The sequence below is a fragment of the Homo sapiens genome, chromosome 20 (assembly GCF_000001405.40).
Source record: "Homo sapiens chromosome 20, GRCh38.p14 Primary Assembly".
NCBI lineage: Eukaryota > Metazoa > Chordata > Mammalia > Primates > Hominidae > Homo > Homo sapiens.
In genome coordinates this window covers 6,832,934-6,857,239 of record NC_000020.11, presented here as the reverse complement: position 1 = coordinate 6,857,239, position 24,306 = coordinate 6,832,934, and positions in this window count along the sequence as shown.

Here is a 24,306-nt window from a genome sequence, read left to right as displayed (position 1 = left end):
TTGCAAGGCTGAGGCAGGAAGGTAGCTGGAGCCTAGGAGTTTGAGATCAGCCTAGGCAACATAGTGAGACCTCATCTTTCCAAAGGCATGGTAGTGTGTGCCTGTAGTCCCTGCTACGCAGGCGACTAAGGTGGAAGGATCTCTTGGGCCTGGGAGGTTGAGACTGCAGTGAGCCACGGTCATGCCACCGTACTCCAGCCTGGGCGACAGAACGAGAACCCGTCTCAAAAAAGAAAAAAGAAAAGAAAAAATCGATATGCAGTATAATGTGTTAGGGTATCTAACAGAACGTTAATAATATCCACACTCTTAATTGATATTTCCTGATGGTCAGTTATGACAATTGTCTTGGCCTGGGTTCTAGCAGGGGTGCACTGGAGCCAGCGTGAGTTTGGAGAGCTGATGGTGTACATTTCTTCCCACTCTGAGTTCAGCAATATCCTATTGGCAGCTGAAAATAGCCATGGTGGAAGTATTTATGCCACAGAAATCAGCCAACACTACAAATTAGGAGTTTTTCTTTGGGAGACCTGGATAACCAGCACACCATTGCCTATGTGGTTCATATGAAAGTTGCAATACTGTCTGTGCTTTTGCATATGACAGTTTTTCTTAGTTTGGTTTCTCCCAAAAGTAAAGCCTGATTAAGGACTTGGGTGCAGGCAGCTCATTTAAAAGGTGATTCCAGGAATGATGCCAGGAGAATGAGATGGGAAATGAGGGAAATCCAGTTAAAAGATGAGTTGATCTATTCACACTGTACACGACTGGGTTCCATCTTGTGGGGACCCCCTGAGTAACCATGTTGGATGTGCTGCAGCTGAAATCCAAGGTCCTCAGAGGGAAGGTGGCATAAGGCACAAAAATCAATGCTTACACATTGGAATCACCCTGGAACTGGGAAAAAAAATAGCTTGATAAACAGACACTCTTACTCCTGGAATACGGAGCATAAGGCTAGGATCATTTCATTCAAGAAGATGATATAGAAATACTAAAACCTAAGAAACAACCTGAAGCACAAGATACTCTGCTCATTTTTATACCTTGCTCTTTGTCCTGAGAAATTGTGTATGCTTGGAATTTCATAATATGTCTGTTAGAGAAGAGAGGAAACCTATCTCTCAAGGCCTCAAATGAGAAAGTAAAAGTGGTAAGTGGATGTCACCAAGGTCAAGCATCTGCTTATTAAAAAGAGAGTCAAGTTTCCTTGCCCCCCGGGAAACTGTAACCTGGCCATGTCTATAGATCTCTCTGGTGAATTAACTTCTGTTTTTCTTTATTTAAGGGGGGTGGGCAGGTCTCCACACTTTGGACATTTAAAAAAAAGAGGAAGAAGCCTCCTCAGCAGAAGGCTAAGGATCCCAAACTTATAGTACTTGATTCTAACCTATATAACTTCAAGCAGGAAATAAAAGGGGCTTATGGTAAGTCCAGGGAGCTGGGGAAATTGACTTTTATGCCTTAGAATTCATAGTCTCTATCCCAATGCATTTGAAAGATCCAATCAATTAATTAGAGGATGGTCAAAAAAATGTATTTTTCCCTAATATTTACAAGGATTTCTAAAGAAGAGTTTTCTTACTTTTCTACAGCCACTAATAATTTTAAAGAAAGAGGCAAGAGAGACTTTGGAAGATGGTTACAAGACCTGAAAACTCAGGGCCAATAGCCTGGATTTATTCCAGAGATGTGCTGGGGAAGCTGTAGGGTTTGTGTGTGGTCATTTCTTCTCTAAATATTTTTGAGTGCTTACTACATACCAGGTGTTGCCCTAATTGCCAGAGATATAATAGGGAATCAAACAGACACATACATGAATTTTTTTTTCCATTTTTTTCTTCTACATGAGGACTAAACTGCCCCACACTGTTCTCTAGGATGTTTCAGCATTTTTCTCGTGTTTACAGGACACTTCCCTAAGCCTCTTCCTACTGTAGAATTGCCACGTAATCCTCTTTGCAACTCATCTGCCTCCTGCCTGCTTCTTCACCACCACTTCTGCAAATTGGCAGAAGAATCCATTTATCCAAGGGATGACCTCTCTAATGTTGAGAATCTATTATAAAAACGGGTCTTTGAAATTTGCAAGGGACAAATAAATTAGTAATTGAGAGCTTGTGTTAAAAACAGTAGAGCAGGCCAGGCACGGTGGCTCACACCTATAATCCCAGCATTTTGGGAGGCCGAGGCAGGCAGATCACTTGAGGTCAGGAGTTCGAGACCAGCCTGGCCAACATGGTGAAACTCTGTCTCTACCAAAAATGCAAAAATTAGCCGGGCATGGTGGCAAGTGCCTGTAATCCCAGCTACTCGAGAGGCTGAGGCAGGAGAATTGCTTCAACCTGGGAGGCGGAGGTTGCAGTGAGCCAAGATGGTGCCGCTGCACTCCAGCCTGGGTGACAGAGCGAGACTTTGTCTCAAAAAAAAAAAAAAAAAAAAAAAGAAAAAGAAAAGAAACCTGTAAAGCATTAAGAAAAATATCACAAGCAAGGCAAACATCTTAAGAAACAGTTGACTATATTACAGACTGATAATTCTTTTCCAGTTTCCTTTTTAGACTTAAGAAATGTTCAGAATGATATGCAATAAATAGACCGACAACAACAGCACAAATTTTAGCCCCTTTCTCTCCCCTGGGAAAGCCTGTTTCAATTTCCTTACTGGCTGATGATCCAGTTCCCCTCTGAGTTGGAAGTCCTTTTCTGAACCACAGCTCAGACAGGCTGCCTGATGCTGACTAGCCTGTCTCTCTCAGAGAGGCTGGATCATAAATACCAGGTAAGACATTACCTCCACATGGATGAGCTTTGCAAGCAGTTGCCTGGCATTGAACACCACTTTTGCCCCTAAGTTTCTAACACTAGGCACACACCTAACAGGCTGAATTCCTGGGCTACTGAGGTCCGTTGAGATGGTTCTTAATGTACAATCCTTCTCTCCACTTAGTTGCCATCCAAGTTTTTTGGGGGTCAGTCCTGGAGAACTGTTAAGTCCTGTTAGTCTCAGTCTTATTTCTCACCGAAGACTCACTGCCTTATGTGTATGTTCAATGCAGCACTATTCACAATAGCAAAGACATAGAATCAGCCTAGATAGATGCCTATCCTGGTGGATTGGGTAAAGATGATGTGGTACACATATACCACGGAATGCTATGCAGGTATAAAAAAGAACAAAATCATGTCCTTTGCAGCAACATGGATGTAGCTGGAGATCATTACCTAAGCAAATTAGAAAACTAAATACCATATGTTCTCATGTATACGTGGGAGCTAAACACTGAGTACACATGGACACAAAGAAGGGAACAATAAATACTGGGGCCTACTTGAGAATGAAAGGTGGGATGAGGCGAACATTGAAAAATTACCTATCAGGTACTATGCTCACTATTTGGGTAACAAAATAATTTGTACATCAAATCCAGGAAACACACAATTTACCCATGGAAGAAACCTTTACGTGTACCCCCATAACTAAAAGAAAAGTTGGAAGGAAACAGATCCACTACCTTTTAGATCATGTCTTATTTAAGGCACTGCCTGGCCTTCAGAAAGCTAACGCTGCCCAGATGATGGTGGTGACTGAGCTTGGAATTCACACTTGCCACTTTCATTCCTGATGTGAAGCATCTCAAAGGCCTTCACTATTGTTTCTAGGAGCCTGAGATAGGTCTGAGAATAATAGCACATTATTTATACTCATGTGATAGGTTGTTAGAAAATTAAGCTAATCCTGGACAGAGTTCCAAGGAGTTTGCATTTAAATTATGACCCTGGGGCAATGTAAATGCTTCAGAAAAAAGTGAGACAGGGTCTATTCCTTGTGGGTGGCTCCCATTTTAAAATAAGTGATTTGCAATATTTGATCTTTAATGGTTTTCAACCTCTTTGGATAAATTCAAAAATAAAATATTAATTTATATAAATTTGTATTAGATCTCTTCCTGCGTGATTAATCATCCTAAAATTTGGTAGCTTAAAACAATTGTATATTTTGCACAGGAATATGTAGTTTTGGTTTGTCAGGGACTGCTCATCTCTGCTCCATGTGGTTTAACTAGGGGCTGGAGGTACCAGTTTGGAGATGGCTGATGCAGGCCTGGCTCAAGATTGTGCTGGATGGCAGGGAGCTTAGCTGGGGCTGTGAGCTGGGGGATATGATTCCCCTCAACGTAGCCTCACCATGGGCTGCCTGGTGAACATCCCAGATGTTCTGAAGCACATGACATTCTTATGAGCTAGCCTCAGAAGTCACACAGTGTTTGCTTTCATTTTACTTTAGTCATTGATACAGTTATAAGGGCCCATCCAGTTTCAAGGAAAGAGGACACATACTTCACCTCTTAATGGCAATAATGGAGTGTCAAGATTCTAGACTGTGGGATGGAAGATATTGTTGCTGCCATCTATAACATTACAATATATAATCTACTCAGTACTCAAATGATTCTTGATTGAGTTTGCTCAAACCAAAGCAAAAACTTGGACTCACAGAATGTTACTTACTGGTCACAGACAGGTGTCCCTCTCAGAGGCATTTAAACCAGAGCGACTCCATCTTGAATAGGAGCTGGGTAAAATAAAGCTGAGACCTACTGGGCTGCACTCCCAGGAGGTTAAGGCACTCTTAGTCACAAGGTGAGATAGGTGGTCAGCACAAGATACGGGTCACATAGACCTTGCTGATGTAACAGTGTGCCATAAAGAAGCCAGCCAATTCCCGCCAAAACCAAGATGGCAAGGAACGTGACCTCTGTTCATCCTCACTGCTCATGATACACTAATTATAATGCATTAGCATGCTAAAAGACATTCACACAGCACCATGACAGTTTACAAACGCCATGGCAACGTCAGGAAGATACCCTATATGATCTAAAAAGGGAAGGAACCCTCAGTTCTGGAAATTGACCACCCCTTTCCTGGAAAACTCATGAATAATCCACCCCTTGTTTAGCATATAATAAAGAAATAACCATAAAAATGGCCAACCAGCAGCCCATGCTGCTGCTCTGCCTATGGAGTAGCCATTCTTTATTCCTTTACTTTCTTAATAAACTTGCTTTCACTTTACTGTATGGACTCCCTCCAAATTCTCCCTTGTGTGAGATCCAAGAACCCTCTCTTGGGTTCAGGATCGAGATTCCTTTCCGGTAACATCCCCATGAGTGAACTAATTGCATAGTATTTGCTCAAATGCAGTTGAATATTCAGGGCCGAGATGGGAGTTTTTGTCTTTTTAGATCCATTAACTTGCTAAAGAAAAATACTTGATTTTTTTTTTTTTTTTTTTTTTTGTCTAGCTCTTTCTCCCAGGCTGGAGTGCACTGGCACAATCTCAGCTCACTGCAACCTCTGCCTTCTGGGTTCAAGCGATTCTCCTGCCTCAGTCTCCAAGTAGGTGGGATTACAGGCATGCACCACCACACCTGGCTAATTTTTGTATTTTTAGTAGAGATGGGGTTTTACTATGTTGGCCAGCCTGGTCTTGAACTCCTGACCTCAGGTGATCCATCCACCTCATCCTCCACAAGTGCTGGGATCACAGACATGTGCCACCATGCCTGGCTAAAACACTTCATTTTTTAGGCTAGAGGATATACTTAAAGAAATATAAATAATAATTCAAATTTTCTTTAAAATCAGAAAAGGGAATATAAAAGACATTTGAATATAGTCAGCAATTCAAAATATGCTTCAGTTCTCAAGGACACATGAAGGCATGAAAGAAAATAAAGAAGAAAAAGAAAGTAGATCGAAAATGTGAAGAAAGAAAAACTATATAGCAAGCAGGAAGGAGACAAAGGTAGCGAGAGGATAGGACAACGAGTGCAACTGTATCAGCGTAACAGGAGATTACCCAAAATAGTTGTTCCAGCAGCAGCCAAATTATAGGCACCACACCTCCAACACACTATTTCAGCATGCTTCCCTCCCTCCCACAATCCTGATTTCCTAGAATTCTAAGCAAGGAGGAGTAAGCAGCCAGTAGCAACCCCTTACCTTATCTAGCAAGGTAAGTTCAGTAACATCAACCCCAGTAGTTTCAAAGATTTGGGAAAATGAAAAGTAACTCTGTATTAAAATATGATTAGGGAAATGGATATCTGGTTGATGGCCAATATCCACCCCACTCCAGGAAGAATTCACATAATTCTAAGAGTGCTCATTAGCTTTAAATTCTTGGGTAGACCATATCTATGTGTAATGGATTATTTTTTATTTTACTTTGAGTAACATGGGGAGCCAACAAAAGGTGTTAAGCAGAGAGAGAGATGAGTAGTGAGTAGTAAGGTAAAAACAAGACAACAACTTAGCAGGCTTCTGCAATAATTCAGGCAAGACTTGACGAGGGCTTAGAAAAGGATGGTAAGGGCTGGGCACAGTGGCTCACACCTGTAATCCCAGCACTTTGGGAAGCCAAGGCAGGCAGATTGCTTGAGCTCAGGAGTTTGTGACCAGCCTGGGCAACACCATGAAACCCCATCTCTACTAATCAAAAAATTAGCTGGGCGTGGTGGCGTACGCCTGTAGTCCCAGCTACTTGGGAGGCTGAGGCAGGAGAATTGCTTGAACCCTGGAGGCAGAGGTTGCAGTGAGCCAAGATCACGCCGCTGCACTCCAGCCTGGGTGACAGAGCAAGACTTCGTCTCAAGAAAAAAAAAAAAAAGTATGCTAGGGTGGCCTTGGTGAGAAACGGTTGGAGTCAGGATTGTCTGATATTGTCAGAAATACAAATTATATTAGCTTTTCTTAGTATTGCTTGATTTGATCTTTCTAGGAATTTTGCCCTTTCATACTAACAATGGGGGCAGAATTCAATATCAGCTTAAAGAACATGAGCTAATTAGTGTTTCTCAAACTTCACTTTACCTACAAATCACCTGAGGATAGTGTTAAAAGGCAGATTCTGGTTAAGCCTGAGATTATGCATTTCTAAGCTCCCAGGTGATGCAAACAGTTCAGAAATCAAAATATGAAACAGAAACCTACTAAACGTCAGTTGGCCATGTCAAATTTTGAACCTCTGGAGTAGATGCTAAAGCCTCATATTCACTGTGACTTCATCCAAGATTTCTGAGGATGAATCATGAGTGTGTTCTTCTGCTGCTCTTTACATTCTAGCCAGCAAGTTGATGTACAGATAGATTACTATGCATTTCTATTTTGTTTATCTTAAAGACTGATTCTTCAATGTACAGGTGCTTATCTATGTAAAAGTTTCTTACACAAATTAGTAGCAATAAGGTACACTAGGTGAGCATACAACAATATACAAGAAAATCATACGACATGGCAAATGTAAAGCTATGCATGCATATTTAACTCTTAAAAATCACAACAAAAATGTGAAGTCAGAGCTCATTAAATTAGAGACTGATTTAACCAAATGATTGTGCAGCCATTACACAGGTGTTCCATTTCAGAAAGTATTAGAGCATAGTGCCGGGGGGCCTCAAAGCTAATTTCTAACCTAGACTAATCATGCCAGGAATAATGACCTGCCGTTACTGCCTTGTGAATCAGACCCTATGATATTTAAAATAATTAAGATCAAAGCCTAACGAGAAGGTCACTGAATTCACCAGTCATAAAACGTTAGTACAAAACCCAAGGCTGTACTTGTTTGCTCAACAATCTTCAACGCTCAAGTTATAAAAGGGTCTTAAGAGGGACACAAACATCATCTTCAAAAAATGTCACTCCCCTCAAAGGTGCTGCCAGAGAGCAAGGGAAGTCTCTCAATGAATTGGTTATTCAAAGCAAAAGTGTTACTCAAAAGTCATTATACATTTGAAAAGACCAGGTAACTTAAGAGATGGGCTGATGGGATATATCAGCTTGCTGGCTGCAATCCCAGAACACAAACTGGGATGAAGATTTGCTTCCCATTTGTAGGCGGCTGGAAAGGAGTGTGAAATGAATTGGTTTGTCCAGGCTGAGTTCCCAGGAAAAGGGTGTCTTTCATACCAAAAGCTCCCACCCAAACTGGCAGGGTGCTTCAAGCCAAAGATTTAGACAGTCAAATAAGTGCTAATTGAGTTAGAGGTTTGGTTAGGAAGTGGGTTGACAATTAAGTTCAGCGAAGGCCCTTTAATGGCCCAACTACCAGCCTTGAGAGGCTTTGGTACAGCACACCAAAGCAGAAGGCTTCCTAATCCACTACTAAGACTTTGATTGAAATTCCTAATCTTTGGCTGGAATAAGTGTGAGACATCATAGAGAGAAGTGGCCTGGGGTGATAGTGGCAGAGGAAGTTATGAGGGTGATACTGAGGATGTATTTGTTCACAAGATTTCACTGGAGATATTCGAGTCTGCAGAACCACAATGGGGAGCCCCAAGAAGAAGCATTTCATTTTTAAGAGGACAACGCTAGACAATAGCTTTATACTGCTATGGCCAAGTTCCCAGCAAGGTTTTGTTGCTTTGTTTTTAACCAAAACAAGGACCAAATACTTTTAACCAAAAGCTATGGGTGTTAACTAAAACCAATACTTTTTATAAAAGTATTTTTATTTAACAAACAATTTAATGGGGCTTTACTATTGCCATTCTTATTATTCCTTTTGCAAATACCTCACTTGTATCTCAAACAACCCTCTGAGGTAAATCACATTATTGTCATTACTTTATAAACAAGAAAACTGAGGCACAGAGAAGCTCAAGAACTAATAAGTGGCATACTTGGAATACAGAAATGGTGGAAAGGCATCTGGGTTAAAACAAAAAGAATGTTACAAGAGAAGTAAGGAAGGAAATTTTTATTATTCCTCTTTGGAAGGAAGGATATAAAAACCCAAGAGAAAATTTAATAGGCCTCTTCACTGCCCCTTTCCCACAAGTGCCAAAATGAAAGCCCATTAATAGGGCTTAAAACTAAAATTTAGTACAGATAAAAGCAAGTCCTCATTACCCAACATATAATTAACTGGGGAATTCACAGCTGTGGGACATGATGGGGAAGGATGAGGCTTGCCGATTCAGGCTGCTGATTTTCAAACAAGGTGTTAAAACCAAGTAACCAGATCTCTTTATTTGCAGGGTGTAGCACTGGCTACTCTGCTGTAGATGATGTTGAGAAGTCGAAACTTCGAAAACAGATCCTACATTGCTTATGGATTAAAGAAACTGAATTTATGTGGTCAACAAATATATGAAAAAAAGCTCATCATCACTGGTCATCAGAGAAATGCAAATCAAACCCACAATGAGATACCATCTCACGCCAGTTAGAATGGCGATTATTAAAAAGTCAGGAAACAACAGATGCTGGAAAGGATGTGGAGAAATAGGAAGGCTTTTACATGTTGGTGGGAGTGTAAATTAGTTCAACCACTGTGGAAGACAGTGTGGGAGATTCCTCAAGAATCTAGAACCAGAAATCCCATTTGACCCAGCCATCCCATTACTGGGTATATACACAAAAGATTATAAATCATTCTACTATAAAGACACATGCACACGTATGTTTATTGCAGCACTGTTTACAATAGCAAAGACTTGGAACCAACCCAAATGCCCATCAGTGATAGGCTGGATAAAGAAAATGTGGCACATATACACCATGGAATACTATGCAGCCATAAAAAACGATGAGTTCATGTCCTTTGCAGGGACATGGATGAAGCTGGAAACCATCATTCTCAGCAAACTAACACAGGAACAGAAAATCAAACACCACATGTTGTCACTCATAACAATGAGAACACATGGACACAGGGAGGGGAATATCATACACCAGGGGCCTGTCAGGGGGTGGGGGACTAGGGGAGGGATAGCATTAGGAGAAATACCTAATGTAGATGACGGGTTGATGGGTGCAGCAAACTGCCATGGCACATGTCTACCTGTGTAATAAACCTGCATGTTCTGCACATGTATCCTAGAACTTAAAGTATAATTTAAAAAAAGAAAAAGAAAAAGAAACTGGAGAACTGGAGGTCAGATGTATTCTACACCCACCACCTCCCAACTCAAGTAAACTTGCCCTTTTCAAGTTCACTCCTTTACCCTTTCCTAAGGGCAGACTGTTCAATCTCCCACCACTCATGGACCAGTTCAGCCATTCTCCTTTCTCCTCACTGCCTTACAACCTCCTGCAAAACCTCCTTTCCACAAAGCCTCATGGCACTTAATGCCATCATTCCCTGTCCCTCTGCAGGGTTGGCACCTACTGGTTCCTAGAATATTTCCCTCATTCACTGAAGACTTTGGAAATTGGATCACCGTCTTCTTAGATCCCATACCTCTTACCAATTGACAACATCCAAGTAGACAACACAGTCATTATCAGGTACCTATGATTCTCTGTCTCCCTAGATCCAATGACTAAAACTTCTACTGCCTTTTGCTAATCTACTTCTGTAGCCATATCAAATTTCAGCATTGTTCCACTTCCACATTTTTATTTCCAAATACCCTTCTCTCTGAGCACATTCTTCCATCTTCCTCAGTCTTTCACTCCCTCACTCAATATTTTTTTCCACTTCCAACTTACCTATTAACTTCTTATTGTCTGTCCTTTTACTGCACCTCCAAACTCCAGATCAATCCAACCATATGCTTTTTCTCCCTTTATACTCAAGCTGAAAAAAAATACCTTGCCACTTTGCAAATTGGTGACACTATTGAGAAGTACAAGCCTTTGGAAACAGATCTATAGATTTATACAGTTTCCAGGAAACATGATTTAATCCCTGGCCTCTGGCAAGAATTGACTAATTAGCTCAAGACCCCCTACGTCAGTGCCAAAGCTCTTGGGAAGTCAGGCTCAGCCCAGGTGGATAACAGTATTGGGCTTCAGATAACTTGAACACAGTCCAAATTCTCTTATACAATAGCTCTCGGGTTTATTATTTTACAGTTCTAAAATTTTATTATATGCAATGTCATGTAAAGTTAGTGATGTTTAGGAATCTCATTTGCATTTTAGTGGCATTTGTTTGAAAATAGTTTACCTATCTGCCAAGTAATGTGCTTAATGATGGAGTGGAAGGATAGTGATGAAATTCAGGTAAAAGATGGCATAGCCACAGGCAAAAATCACAGCTTCAAAGGGTAGGGAGAAGCCTCAAGTCTTGTAGTTCAAAAATCCTTTTACTTAGCAACATCACTTAAAATAACAAAAAAACAAAACTCCTTCTGGACCAGTATCAACTGCTATCTCTCTCCTTCCAACGCTTCAATTTCAATTCTAGCTTCCTTTGTGTTCCACTAAATAGATCATTGTAACAGCTAATGTATCCAAAATCCTTCTGCCTTAGTAATTTTTATACATAAGTGAAGATTTCCACTTTTTAATGCCATTAAAATGTATATCTGTTAACCATCTTTTAAAATTTATTAAATTCTTCCCTGCCATCTTAAGGATAATGTGTAAACCACATTTTGCTATTTCTTGCATTTGCAGAATCCTCTCTAAAATTTAGTCATAGGATTTGTAATGTCCAATTAGCTGCTCAATGAATTTTTGAGTCTCTCAGGTCTTTGTCTTTGTTCCCAAAGTTGAAGTGGCTAGAAAAATGTCCTATAGATACATTTGTTGCCAAATCACACACACACAAAATATGCTACTATCTCAGAGGTATCAGGACATATAATAACAACCTCTAAATATTTCCCCAAGAGTTGCTCCTATTCAGTGAACACCAGAAGTAGTCTCTGGGATGTATGGAGAGTAACATACTCCACTCAAAAATATAAAAAATAACTCATTTGTAAGTTTTAAACCTTCTCACATTACTTTTGGTTTCAAAGTATGGACTGTTTTGCTCAATGCCAAACTGGCTTTGGTGACTTTACATTTCTTTGCTTGCAGGGTCTGGTGGATAGGATGGGACAAAGGTCAAATGCCTTTAACACTCTGGGTTTCAGTTAACTCAGTTCTCAGGTGAGAACTTCAGCCCTTCTGCTCCTGCAGATTCCAGTGTCAGGTGGTTCAAATGCCATAGCACAGATGAAAGCAGCTTGAACAGCAGAAGGAGCTTTATCCATGAAAGGACAGAGCCAACTGAGGCCAGGGGAGCTTTTGGTGACTAGCAGGAGCATTATTCACATTTTACAGTTTCTAGCCTAGTATGTGTCAGTCACTCGGTAAACATTTGATGAACAGGTGAATGAATAAACGAATAAAGGAGCCCACTTTGATATTGATACAAAGAAACTAATAATATTAAATAATTTTCCCCAAAGCCAGAAACTCCTTTTTGAAAAAATCTAATGCATATTCAAATTGCATTGGTCATCAGAAACCTCTTTGGAAAGCAGAATGGCAAACTCTAAATCAGGCCCATGGGATTTTCCTTAGAAAATTGATCAGACAGTCAGGCGCGGTGGCTCATGTCTGTAATCCCAGCACTTTGGGAGGCTGAGGCGGGCCGAACACCTGAGGTCAGGAATTCGAGACCACCCTGGCCAACATGGTGAAACCCCGTCTCTACTAAAAATACAAAAATTAGCTGAGCATGGTGACGGTCACCTGTAATCCCAGCTACTTGGGTGGCTGAGGCAGGAGAATTGCCTGAACCCAAGAGGCGGAGGTTGCAGTGAGCGAGATCGCTCCATTGCACTCCAGCCTGGGCGATAGAGTGACACTCTGTCTCAAAAATAAGAAAATTGATCAGACAATTGAAATTATCACCTCTGCAAGTCAACAGACTTTCAGAAAGAAACTAGTTTTTGAAAGTGCATGCTCATGTATGTGAAAGTCTAGTTTACCTATCAAGATCATCCTGGGTAGGCATAGTGGCTCACACCTCTAATTTCAGCATTTTGGGAGGCCAAGGGGGAGGATTGCTTGAGGGCAGGAGCTTGAGACCAGCCCTGTCTGTCTCTTTTAAAAAAAGAATTATACATATACACATAAGTGTGTGTATATATATATGTGTGTGTGTATATATATGTGTAAATATATATTCCTTTAGTTATAATACTATACTATTTATTGATGACAGGACAATGTTCAAATATTGAAAAGAGGAAACAGTGTTGACGTTGTCTTGCGAGAAACTGTTGAAGGAATTGGGTAGGTTTAGAAGGAGGAAGAAACAACCAAGGAGAGAAATGGAAACTCCAAATTAATCTCTCTTTATGCAAAAAAAAAGAAATCAAATTATTCTAATGAGATCCAGCAGCAATAAGCAAATATTAGACCCAGATTTTAAGGAAGAGCCTGTTAGCAACTAGAACTGCCTAGAAATGAGACAGGTGCCTTTGCAGAAGGCATCTTCCTTCCATGGTATCAAATCACAAGAGAAGAAGAGCGGCGGGATGGGATTTCATCATACACCAGACCTGCTGACCTTCCTTCAAAGCATCTGTAAAATCTTCTCCCCATTTATGACCCAGAAAATGAAGAGGACCAATGTGAAGGGCTGGATAAGCAATGCTCAGACATCCAGAGTCCACAGCACAGACATTTCTTCATTATTGAAGACTTACCAGGGCTGGATGCAGTGGCTCACATCTGTAATCCCATCACTTTAGGAGGCCAAGGTGAGCAGCTACTTGGGAGGCTGAGGTGGGAGGATAGCTTGAGCACAGGAGAGGTTGCAGTGAGCTGAGATTGCACCACTTCACTCCAACCTGGGCAACAGAGCAAGACCTTGTCTCAAAAAATTAAAAATAAAACTTGCCAGGTGAGAATCAGGTGGCAGACATGGCAGGAACTGAATTCTCCAGAGGGCTCCAGCTTTGCAGTTCACAGCACACAAAACTGGAGCCCTTCTTTGCCCTAAGCACAATAAACACTTATTGAATTAAAACATAGGCAGAAATCAAAGGCAGGCAGAGCGAAATGGTGAGAACTGCTCTTCCAGACATTTCTAAATATGCCAGAGAAACTTTCAACGGCATGTTAGAACTTTATAAATTATGTGTAAACATGACCTCTGAAAAAAAGCCAGGGTCTATGTGGCCAAGAGTGACTTCTTTAGTGAATCATAGCTGGGACAGTAATTTTTGAACTCTGCAATTTTCCACATCTTTTCCAAAATAAGTGGTGTAGTGAAAACACACGATCCAGTGTCCTTCTGCCAGCTTCCCATCCCCTATTACACTTTCTTTTCCTTGTAATAATTTTTTGCCTTGGTTCAGGATATCTCACCTTATCATTCCCATTTTTCCTTTTTTTTTCTCTCCAATCTTTCACTACTAGAACTTCCATAAATCATCAATGGCATTCTGGAGGGAATGGGAAAAGGGGGCAAAATCCTGCTCAGTCCTTCATGCTAATTTTGATTTCTACCCCTGATGTATTGAGTCTGACAAAGGGAAGATAGACGGGCAGTCAAGTGAGAATGTTTAGGCTTTCTTTCCTGAAATATTGTCTTCATGGTATAAATAACTAAAATTTATGTCGCACAGATTATTTTAGGCAATTCTATAATCTGGGTATTAACAGGATTTCTATTTTAAAGATAAGGAAACTCTCCTAAAGTTGCACTCTTAGGAAGTGGGGGAAATGAGAGTTAAACTACATCATGCATTCTGCAGGTCAAGCATTTAATTATTATATTATTTTTCAATCGGCCCACAACAAGTTAAAATTCAGGCTCCTCTCTGGGTCCTCCCAGTTCATTGCCTCTTCTACATAAATGTTGGCAAGTCATTTTTCCACGGACTGTCTTAGAGATCCTCTCATCTCTGGCAATTCTACAACTATGCCTACTCAAAACATTGTATTACCTGTGGACTCCAGAATGGGGGTTCTTTTTTTAAAAAAGCTGTTGTTCAGGACCTTCCATATTATAGTTCCACCACCATTCAAGAGTTACTGTGCCCACCACTTTTTTTTTTTTTTTAATTTGGCTGAACATGTTTGTGAACCCAGATTAGAAATTCATGGCCCGACAAGGTTGTTGTTGGTTTTTTTTAATTGATTCACAAATGTGTTTAATTAAAGAGCAAGAGGGAATATTTGAAATTAAGACTGGCCCCATAACATCTGGGGTCCAATTCAATCTATTCATGCTCTCTAGAACATTCCTCCCACTCTCAGCTACATGTCACTGCTTCTTTCTGTTATTCCTTCTTCCTCTCACACTCGCTTAGGGTCATGCTTACATGCTCAGAGCTTCATATATATTGAAATTACAGGTAAGTGTTTTCCGTTTCCCATGGCAATCCTAAAGGGAAGTTAGAGCAGGTCTTCTGACATTTTCCATTCATTCTCTATGTAGCATGGCATTCAGAGAGTGTTACTGAATAAATAATTTAAAACATCTAAGATAAATTGCTGTTTGGTATGGAGTCATAAAAATTGGTTGCAATTTATTTTTAAAATACACAACTACAGTAATTTCAAGTTTAGTGTTCATGAGCTACACTTTTGATTTTTTAAGTCAATAACAATTTTGAATACTCCTTTCCACAAATCCCATAGAAAGAGTAAAAAGGTCTTGAAATTTTCAATGTTTGGCATTACAGCAACTGCTGAAAATTCCTGTTAGACAATATTCCCTGACTCTTGGATCAGAAAGAAGGGCCAGCATAGCAGGGCATGTCTACTAGGACATCATACAGTTCGTACTCCACAGTTCCTGCTTCAGGATAGCACAAAAGCCCCCAGACAAACAAGCAAAAGTTCTCAAGATTCTTTACTGCCTTTATCTAATATAACCAGCTTTCTGTCATAACTAGATGTTGCCCAGTATGCAACAGGGAGCCATGTTGTCAGACCATTCACAATTTCCTAAACTATCACAAAATTCCCATAGGAAGGAGAGGGCATTTCACATGGTTGGAAGTGCCATCCACGCAGGGGCTCAGGGAGGATAATGATTGCATTTTTAAGGTAGAGACCAGGCACCCATCCCTCCTCCAAATCTCTCTGCCTCCAGCCCTCTATTCTTCCTCTCTCTCTCCCTCCTCTCTCTCTCTCTCCCTCCTCTCTCTCTCTCCCTCCTCTCTCTCTCTCCCTCCCTTCTCTCTCTCCCTCCCTCCCTTCTCTCTCTCTCTCTCTCTCATCTCTCTTTCTCTCAAGGATGCGCTCAGCTCCTGCTAAGGAATTTAAGGAATAACTTTTGGTCCATCCTCAGAGGTTACAGGTGAAGAACAGAAATAGCATGATATATGGGGAAAGTTGGAGGAGACAGTCTTAGTCCTGAAGAATCAGGGAATGCTATAATGTGCCCTGAGGTACAGTCTACAGAGACTACCTTGACAAAGAATTTAAAATAAGAGCTAAAGAGAAATTGGCCACTTAATAATTTGATAGTAACAGCTTTGACTTTGTTTTTAAATATAAGGAGGGAAGAAATAACACCTGAATAAATTTAGTATGCCAAGATGTTAGCTTCAACTCTGACAAAAGGTTTGTGCTTATACAAAGTGAGATTCTCTAATAACCTGAATTTTAGTTAATTATTTTTGTACATTTACAGAGGGATGATGATCAGAGGTAGGCTTCTGTTTTTGGATACTACATTCTGTGGTTTGACATTAAGGGAATGTTTGTATCTGCTTTGATCTCACCTAATTACCCCAAAATTTAGTAGAATTCCACAATTTATCCAAGAATATTATAATGAAGCAATATTTCTGGATATTGTTCGAAGGATCTCATGATCCATCCATAATATTCTAGTAATAAAAGCTATCATTAACTGAATACTTAGTCTAAGCCAGGTACAGGATCAGCCTGTTCTATGTATTATCCTGTCTAATCACCCAATCAACCCTATGATGTAATAGGATTATTATATCCATATATTACAGATGAGGAAACTGAGGTACTGGAAGTGAAATGAATTGCCCAAGGTTGCTGAGCAGAAAGTGGTAGTGCTAGAGCTCTAGCCCAATCACAATTCAGAGCCAACATATACAACTACTGTGTTATTCATCCTTCTCAAATAAAAATTACCAGATGTTTTCAACTGTGGGTGTATAATACCTGCTCCTGGTGAGGACTGGGGCAAAAACGTACTTTCATATCACAGGTGGAAATGTCACTTAATGCAGCTTTATTTAAAAGCAACATGGCAATACTCATTAAAAGTAATAGTGCACATAGCCGTTGATTCTGCAGCCCTTCTCCTGGGAGTCAAATTCTGTGAGTGTAAAAGCATAATCTGCACAAGGATATAATATGAATTCTAATCCACAAGAGGAAATGTTAAATCAACTATGGCATCATTGCACCATGTACTATTACACAGCTGTTAAAAGGAATGGGGTAGATCAACCCAGTCAGTTGACTTGAAGAAATTGAAAGAAAAATCAAAGTGTAATAAATATCTCATTTTTGTTAAAAAAAAAGGGGGGGGTAGAATTTTGGGGGCAGTGAGACTATTCTGTACAGTAATGTATTGGTATATACATGTCATTATACATTCGTCAAACCCCATAAAATATGTGACACACAGAATGAACCCTAATGTAAACTGTGGACTTTAGTTAATAATAATGTATCTATACTGGCTCTACTGGCTCATTGGCCATAACAAATGTCCCATACTGATGCAAGACGTTAATAATAAGGGAAACTGGGGAGCAGGTGGTAAGAGGGATATATGGGAACTCTACTTTCCACTCTACTTCTCTGTAAACCTAAAACTGCTCCAAAAACAAAGTCTATTAATTAAACAAAATTATTAGAGACTACTATATATATTTGGATATAAATTTTAATATGATGAGTATAGAAAAATGTAATTTAAGCTTAATTGTGGGGCTAAGGGAACAGAAGAGGGTGAAAGCAAAAAAAGTTTTTTCCTAAACTTTCCAACTCGCAAGATGAAAACAATAGAAATAGGTATTCTGTGGGCTAATTAGTGTAAACCAGTATGTGTGTTTTAGAAAAACATATAGTTAGACAAATTCTCCTGGAATTTTCCCCACGGACTTTTAGAATCTTTAATTCTAGCATTTTGTAAATGTGCTATTGAGTATCCAATTGTTGTTTTCCCCAACTCACCGTCAAACCATAACAAAAGAATAATAACTGATAAGAGGCTGTCACTAAATGAGAAGTTGGATCTCCCATACTGAGCTTTGCACTCAGCGAAATCAAGGAACTTGAAGTTCCTAGAGGTAGTAACTTCAATCATATTTTCTCCTTTTCTTCTTCATTCCAAAGCCAATGCAAAACTAATAATGATGTTCTACAAGATGGCCTGAGAATTTCTACTGGTGTTTAAGTCATCATAAACTGTAGACTACTTTGCAGTAGATTTCCTTCCAAGAAGATTTTAAGATCTCACTTGGAAAGAGTCTATATCAATCAATCAACCAACAAATCAATCAATCACACACACACACCACCAAGCCAGGAAAATAAAGATCCCCACCAAAAAGTAGTAATATAAATGTTATAATGTTGTGTTATAATATACATTTCAGATGTATAGATACGTATATAATTTAATTCACATATTTGAAGATTGAAATCCTGAAATCCTGGGAATCTGCTTAAATAATGAAACGGAAGTCCCATAACTCTTAAATGTAGCACGCTCACATAGAGTTGTTGGAGCAGGTTTCGCATACCTCAAGGGACAATTTCCAACCATATCCTTCAAGGTGTATTTTCCTCTAATTAAACCTAATCCCTCTTACCTCCTGGTGGCCTGTAAGAGCTCGATTTTCAAGCGTCACCACATCGTCTGGTTGCCTTCTGAGATGTTACAAAAGCAGTCAGTCCCACCCGGGCTCTGCTTACTGAACCCTGAAAAAAGCGTGAGCAGGAAACAGCCAGGGCCTCCTCTACAGGGCTTACGTGATGAAATGCAGCTCACCATTAGTTGCCCCTGCAATTTTCACACCTGGGGCTCTTGAGCTTTGAGGGTGCAGGTGGCCTAATACAGGAGTAATTAGTTCCATGTCATTAATTATTTATATGGAGCTTATCACCCTGGGTTGGCAATTTTTGTTGACTCAAAACTGCAGGTGCACAAAGGAATAGTGGCGGAGGGAAAATGGTGCTCTGTGGGCTGAATATCTTCGAGACTGTCTCCAGGAAAGGCTATGTCATTCATAGCAACCACAGAGTTTTGAGAGTTGACAAGTAATTTTACATGGTGACTCACCATTGCTACAGTTGCAAAGGTAATTCTATTTGACTCACATGAAATTCTGTTTTTAATGTGTATTTGACAGGAAAATAGTCTTCCCATTTTGTTGTTGTCCTTAAAGAAAAGCAGGGAATGAGAATTTACTGCCGTGGTCTTCTCTTTCAGACCTAACTGTTCTTAGAAAATTCCAAGTAGTTTCAATAACACTACTGGAAATTCTCCTTATTAACTCTGCTTTTAGAACCTTCTGGTGAATCTGATTTCAGTACTGCTTGTCAATATATAACTTCGTTCTAACCAACTACAATCCCTAACCCAGGCTTAAACATTTGTTGCAACAAACTTTTCCCTGAACTACCTGGTGCTTTCCTTGTGATTCTAAACTCATCTGCCTCCATTTTCTTGCAGTGATGCTGGTTTTTCTTAAGCTACTATTCCAGCTACTTATTTCTCCAAATGAAAGAAAGGGGAGAAAAAAGAAGAAAATTTTGTTTTCCATACCCAGATTTCTGGTTCAGGATTTTATTAAGCATTTAGAACACAGAACGATTTCAGATCAATTCATGGTAAACTTTAATCTCACTTCTATAGTGGTTTGAAAGCAGAGAATCTCTGAACTAGTATCTCAGTGGGAAAGAATTTTTGCAGTTCAGTCTCTCTTAATGCTTCCTCCATATCAAGGTAATCCTTAAGTCTTCTCTCTAACTCAGTAACTCAGTTCCTTCCACATTCACGGCAGCAAATTAACCATGATCTATTTAAGAAATTGTCACAGAAGCCTTGTGTCTCCCATCTCGGTATTTCTAGCAATCACCAGATGATGCTGATGGCTCATATATTTTGAGTAGCAAATTTCTAGATCATCACGTAAAAGCTATTTCTTCCTTTTGGTTTTGTAGCCTCCCTGTGTTGTCCACAAAGAATGGCCCTGCACCCCCTAATAAAAAAAACCAACCCAACCCCGCATAACCCTACCTTTTTCTGTGAATTTTGCATTTCAAATTTTTCACTTCACACCTCTAGTTTTTGCTGTGAGAAAATTCTGGTGCATATCAAATAAGTTATATATTGAGAAGAAGAGGCGAACATTTACAGCTGCGGAAGGGCATGCTCTCACCTCTGTCTGCCTTTACAGCACGGAAAGGTTGCCTTAACATTCTGTGACAGAGGTTCTCAAAGTGAGAGCTCCCTGTAGAAGCCACGTCAGCATCTCTGGGAGCTTGTTAGATATGCAAATTCTCAGTCCCACCCTAGATCTTCAAATTAAGAAACTCTGGGTTGGGGCCCAGGAATCTGTTTTAACAAGGCCTCCAGGTGATTCAAATGCCAGCTGAAAATTGAGAACCACTGGTACCTACATTGTTTGGTCAAAAATCTTACGAGCTTTGCATTCATCCAATTCATCTTAAATCGTGAATGTTAATAATAAATTAAACTCTGGTTTGGAAGTTTAGAGAGTGCATCTCCACTTCACCATAAACTAGTTTGGTCTAGTTCATACGCTTGTGCAACCCCTTCAAGGGTTGGGGTTTGGTTCTCTCATTAGTAAGATGATTATATAACCAATCCTTTAAGCTAGAAACTCTTGATAGTAATAAAAGGTGCTGTTATAATTACACATGGACAATAGGCGTAAATTGGGACTATCCTAGGCAAACTGGAACATATGGAGATTTTACTCTTTAGGAAAATAAAGATTGGTTGGGACAAGACAGCGATAAGCCTTCCAGGTCTAAGATTTTTACAATGTGAACCCTAAAATTTTTAAGTAGGAACTCATAACTACTGTCTTTATTCGGAACTGCAAATCTAAAGAAGAATTTATCTATCTCTCAATTATGTTATTACATTTTTAATCACCTTGCTTAATTTAAAAGTGCATTTGAAGCTCTAGGATATCACCCTAGGGTATAGGATGATCAGGGTGTAAAAGCTGTCAGTATCAAAATAGAATCACAAATGTTAAGAAACAGACAAACAGAGCCTTTACCTCCCTGAATACACATATACTTCACTATGACATGTGTATTCCCATTACAATGCTGTATTTCCAAATAAACGTCTTCCTTTGTAGAGACCCTCTCTCTTTGTTATTTAGGTTGACAAGGGTGAATTTTGAAAATCCAAAAGTCTCAAAGCCCTGGGTACAAAAAGAATGCCATCTCGGCAACTAAAATATCCCACTAACCATGTGTTACTTGGACTTATTCAGAAATAGCCAGGAGCACAATTTGATCTAAGAGTGTCATGTTCGTGTTTGGTTAGAGGTTTTTTTGGGGTTTGGGGTTTTTTTTCCCTGTTAAATAAGCAAGAGTTATGTGATATCTTGAAAGGTGAGGATATTATGCTCAAACATTTTCAGTGTATTGAAAAGTTTCAATAGACTAAAAAACTGTGCTAATACGAACTCCCCCTTTCCTCCGTCCCCTTCAAAAAAACTTAAATCAGAGAAATGCAAATGACTGTCATCTTGTAGTGTGAACTTTGAACCTAGAAGAATCAAAAAGACAAAAAGACTATTTAGAAAATAGTATCTTTCCTTTCTAGCTATAAACTACAGTGTATGTGTGTGTTACAGATATTGGGAATATTTTCTATTTCATTTAACATCATAGTATAAAAAATTGGTCCTTAAAAATTTATCATTTTCAACTTGCCTTCAGGCCTAACATTAACTTAGGAAAATCTAAAATATATAACTTTTCTTTAGAAAGTTTCGTAAATTTCAAAGTTTTTTTCTTGGTGGTTTTATTTTCCAGTAAGTCTCCCAGTCTGAAGTCCAGCTTTCAAAAATCTATTCCCAATATCTAAACAATAGTTTTAGACCACCGTTATCAGTGTGCTGGGAAATCAAGCAGTCAGGAAGTATTTCACAGGCACCTAATATTTTCGTAATAGTGATCAATAATAATGAAGCTTTGCATTTTAGGTTTCACGTTTTTCCTGAAAACATCTAAAGTATGTTTTTTCTAAACAATGTTGTTATAGAAAGATTTGGTAATTTGTGCTATCAGTTATCCATTGATAATATCCTGTCAGAATATGACAAAATATATTTAGAAAGAGCTCATAATATGCAAAGCTCATAATATACAAAACAATAATATGAAGTAAAAAGTCAAACACAAAGTAATATAGACTATAATATGCAGTGGTAGACATAAGATGAGAAAGAAACATTAAAATATTAACAGTTGGCTGGCCACAGTAACTCAACCCTGTAATCCTAGCACTTTGGGAGGCTGAGGCAGGTGGAGCACTTGAGTTCAGGAGTTCAAGACCAGCCTGAGCAACATGGTGAAACACTGTCTCTGCAAAAACTACAAAAAATTAGCCAGGCATGATGGCATGTGCCTGGAGTCTCAGTTACTCAGGAGGCTGAGGTGGGAGGATCACCTGAGCCCAGGAGGTTGAGGCTGCTGTGAGCTGTGATCACACCTCTGCACTCCAGCCTGGGCAACAATGAGATTCTGTCTTAAAAGTAAATAAAGTAACTAATTAATTAACTATCATTGCTAGTTTTAAGCAATAGGATCAGGCTGATTTTTTTTAATACTTTTCACAAATTAACATGTTTTCCATAATAGCAAATATATTATTTGAGAATAGGGGGAAGAAATCACATCTTATTTTAAAATTGTCTGGCACAGAGAGATGAGAGGACTTCTGAGCAAAGGTGTCATGTGTATCTCATCTTCTATTTAACAAGTGCCTTTGTTCAAATCATCAGAGGCCATGAAAAACTGGGAAACATTTTCTTTCTTTCTTTCTTTCTTTCTCTCTTTCTTTCTTTCTTTCTTTCTTTCTTTCTTTCTTTCTTTCTTTCTTTCTTTCTTTCTTTTTTTTTTCAGATGGAGGCTCACTCTGTCGCCGAGGCTGGAGTGCAGTGGTACAATCTCAGCTCACTACAACCTCCGCCTCCTGGGTTTCAGTGATTCTCCTGCCTCAGCCTCCTGAGTAACTGGTATTACAGGCATGCACCACCACGCCTGGCTAATTTTTGTATTTTTAGTAGAGACAGGGTTTTGCCATGTTGGCCAGGCTGGTCTCGAACACCTGACCTCAGGTGATCCGCCCACCTCAGCCTCCCAAAGTGCTAGGATTACAGGTGTGAGCCATGCACCCGACCGGGAAACATTTCTTAAAGAGGTCACAGTCTTTGTCATAATGTGGCACACTCTGTAACTTTAATATGCACAAATTTCTTGATTCCCAATAAGGAAAATATGAAAAAAGTTAATAAATATGCAAAACAGTCATCTGCATAATGTCATAGGTTGCTATCTACTGAATTTACAAAATTATATATAAATTCACTGACAGCTTCTATTCACTCTTAATTGAGACCTTGCAAATTAAAATTTTATCCTAGGACACAATACTTGTCCGTGCTGATTAATTATAGCTAATAACATTACTTTGTAACCGTATTCCACCACTTTAATTCTCTCTCTAAATTCACAAAAAAAATTTATAAACTTTGAAACTAAACTCATTTATTTTCCAAATTTTGGAAATATGTTCATAAGTGACATGAAGCAAAAGTCTGAGCTCATCAAGGAAGTCAAAATGTTCCAATTCTAGGAATTCAGGTGACAGCTATGTAAACCATTAATTTACAATCCCATTCCCTCCAGGTGTCCGTGAGAAGTTCTATAAAATAGCATGAATGTTTCCAGAAACTCAAGACCTGCTCCTCATTTGCTAGGCAAGAACTACTATAGCAGTAAAGCAGAAAATCTGGTTTTGAAATGATTATGGTAGTGACTAAACAATTCCACATGCTATAAGAATCCCGTTTGATATTAGATGTTACCAAATTTAGTTTCAAGTTAAAGATGATTTTCCTTCATGGTTCTTTTTACTCTGCTCTATCCCAATATTTAATCTCCTCCCAGTGATTCTGTGATCTGGGTCTGAGAAAAGATACATAATTTCATTAATTATGATTTTTAAACTGAACATTGCTATGTGTTCAGCTATTTTTCAAAGCAAAACAACATTTAGAGATCAAATTAAGATCACCAAATTAGTGATCTTCACTTTTTGCCAAAGATGGCAAACTCTCTCCACATCTCCTTGGTTTTTTGTTTGTTCGTTTTTTTTCCCTGAGTCACTCTCTGTTCCCCAGGCTGGATTGCAGTGGCGCCATCTTGGCTCACTGTAGCCTGGACCTCCTGGGCCCAATCAATTTTCGCGCCTCAGCCACCTCAGTAGCTGGAACTACAGGCGCGTGCCGCCATACCCACGTAATTTTTGTATTTTTAGTAGAGATGATTTCACCAGGTT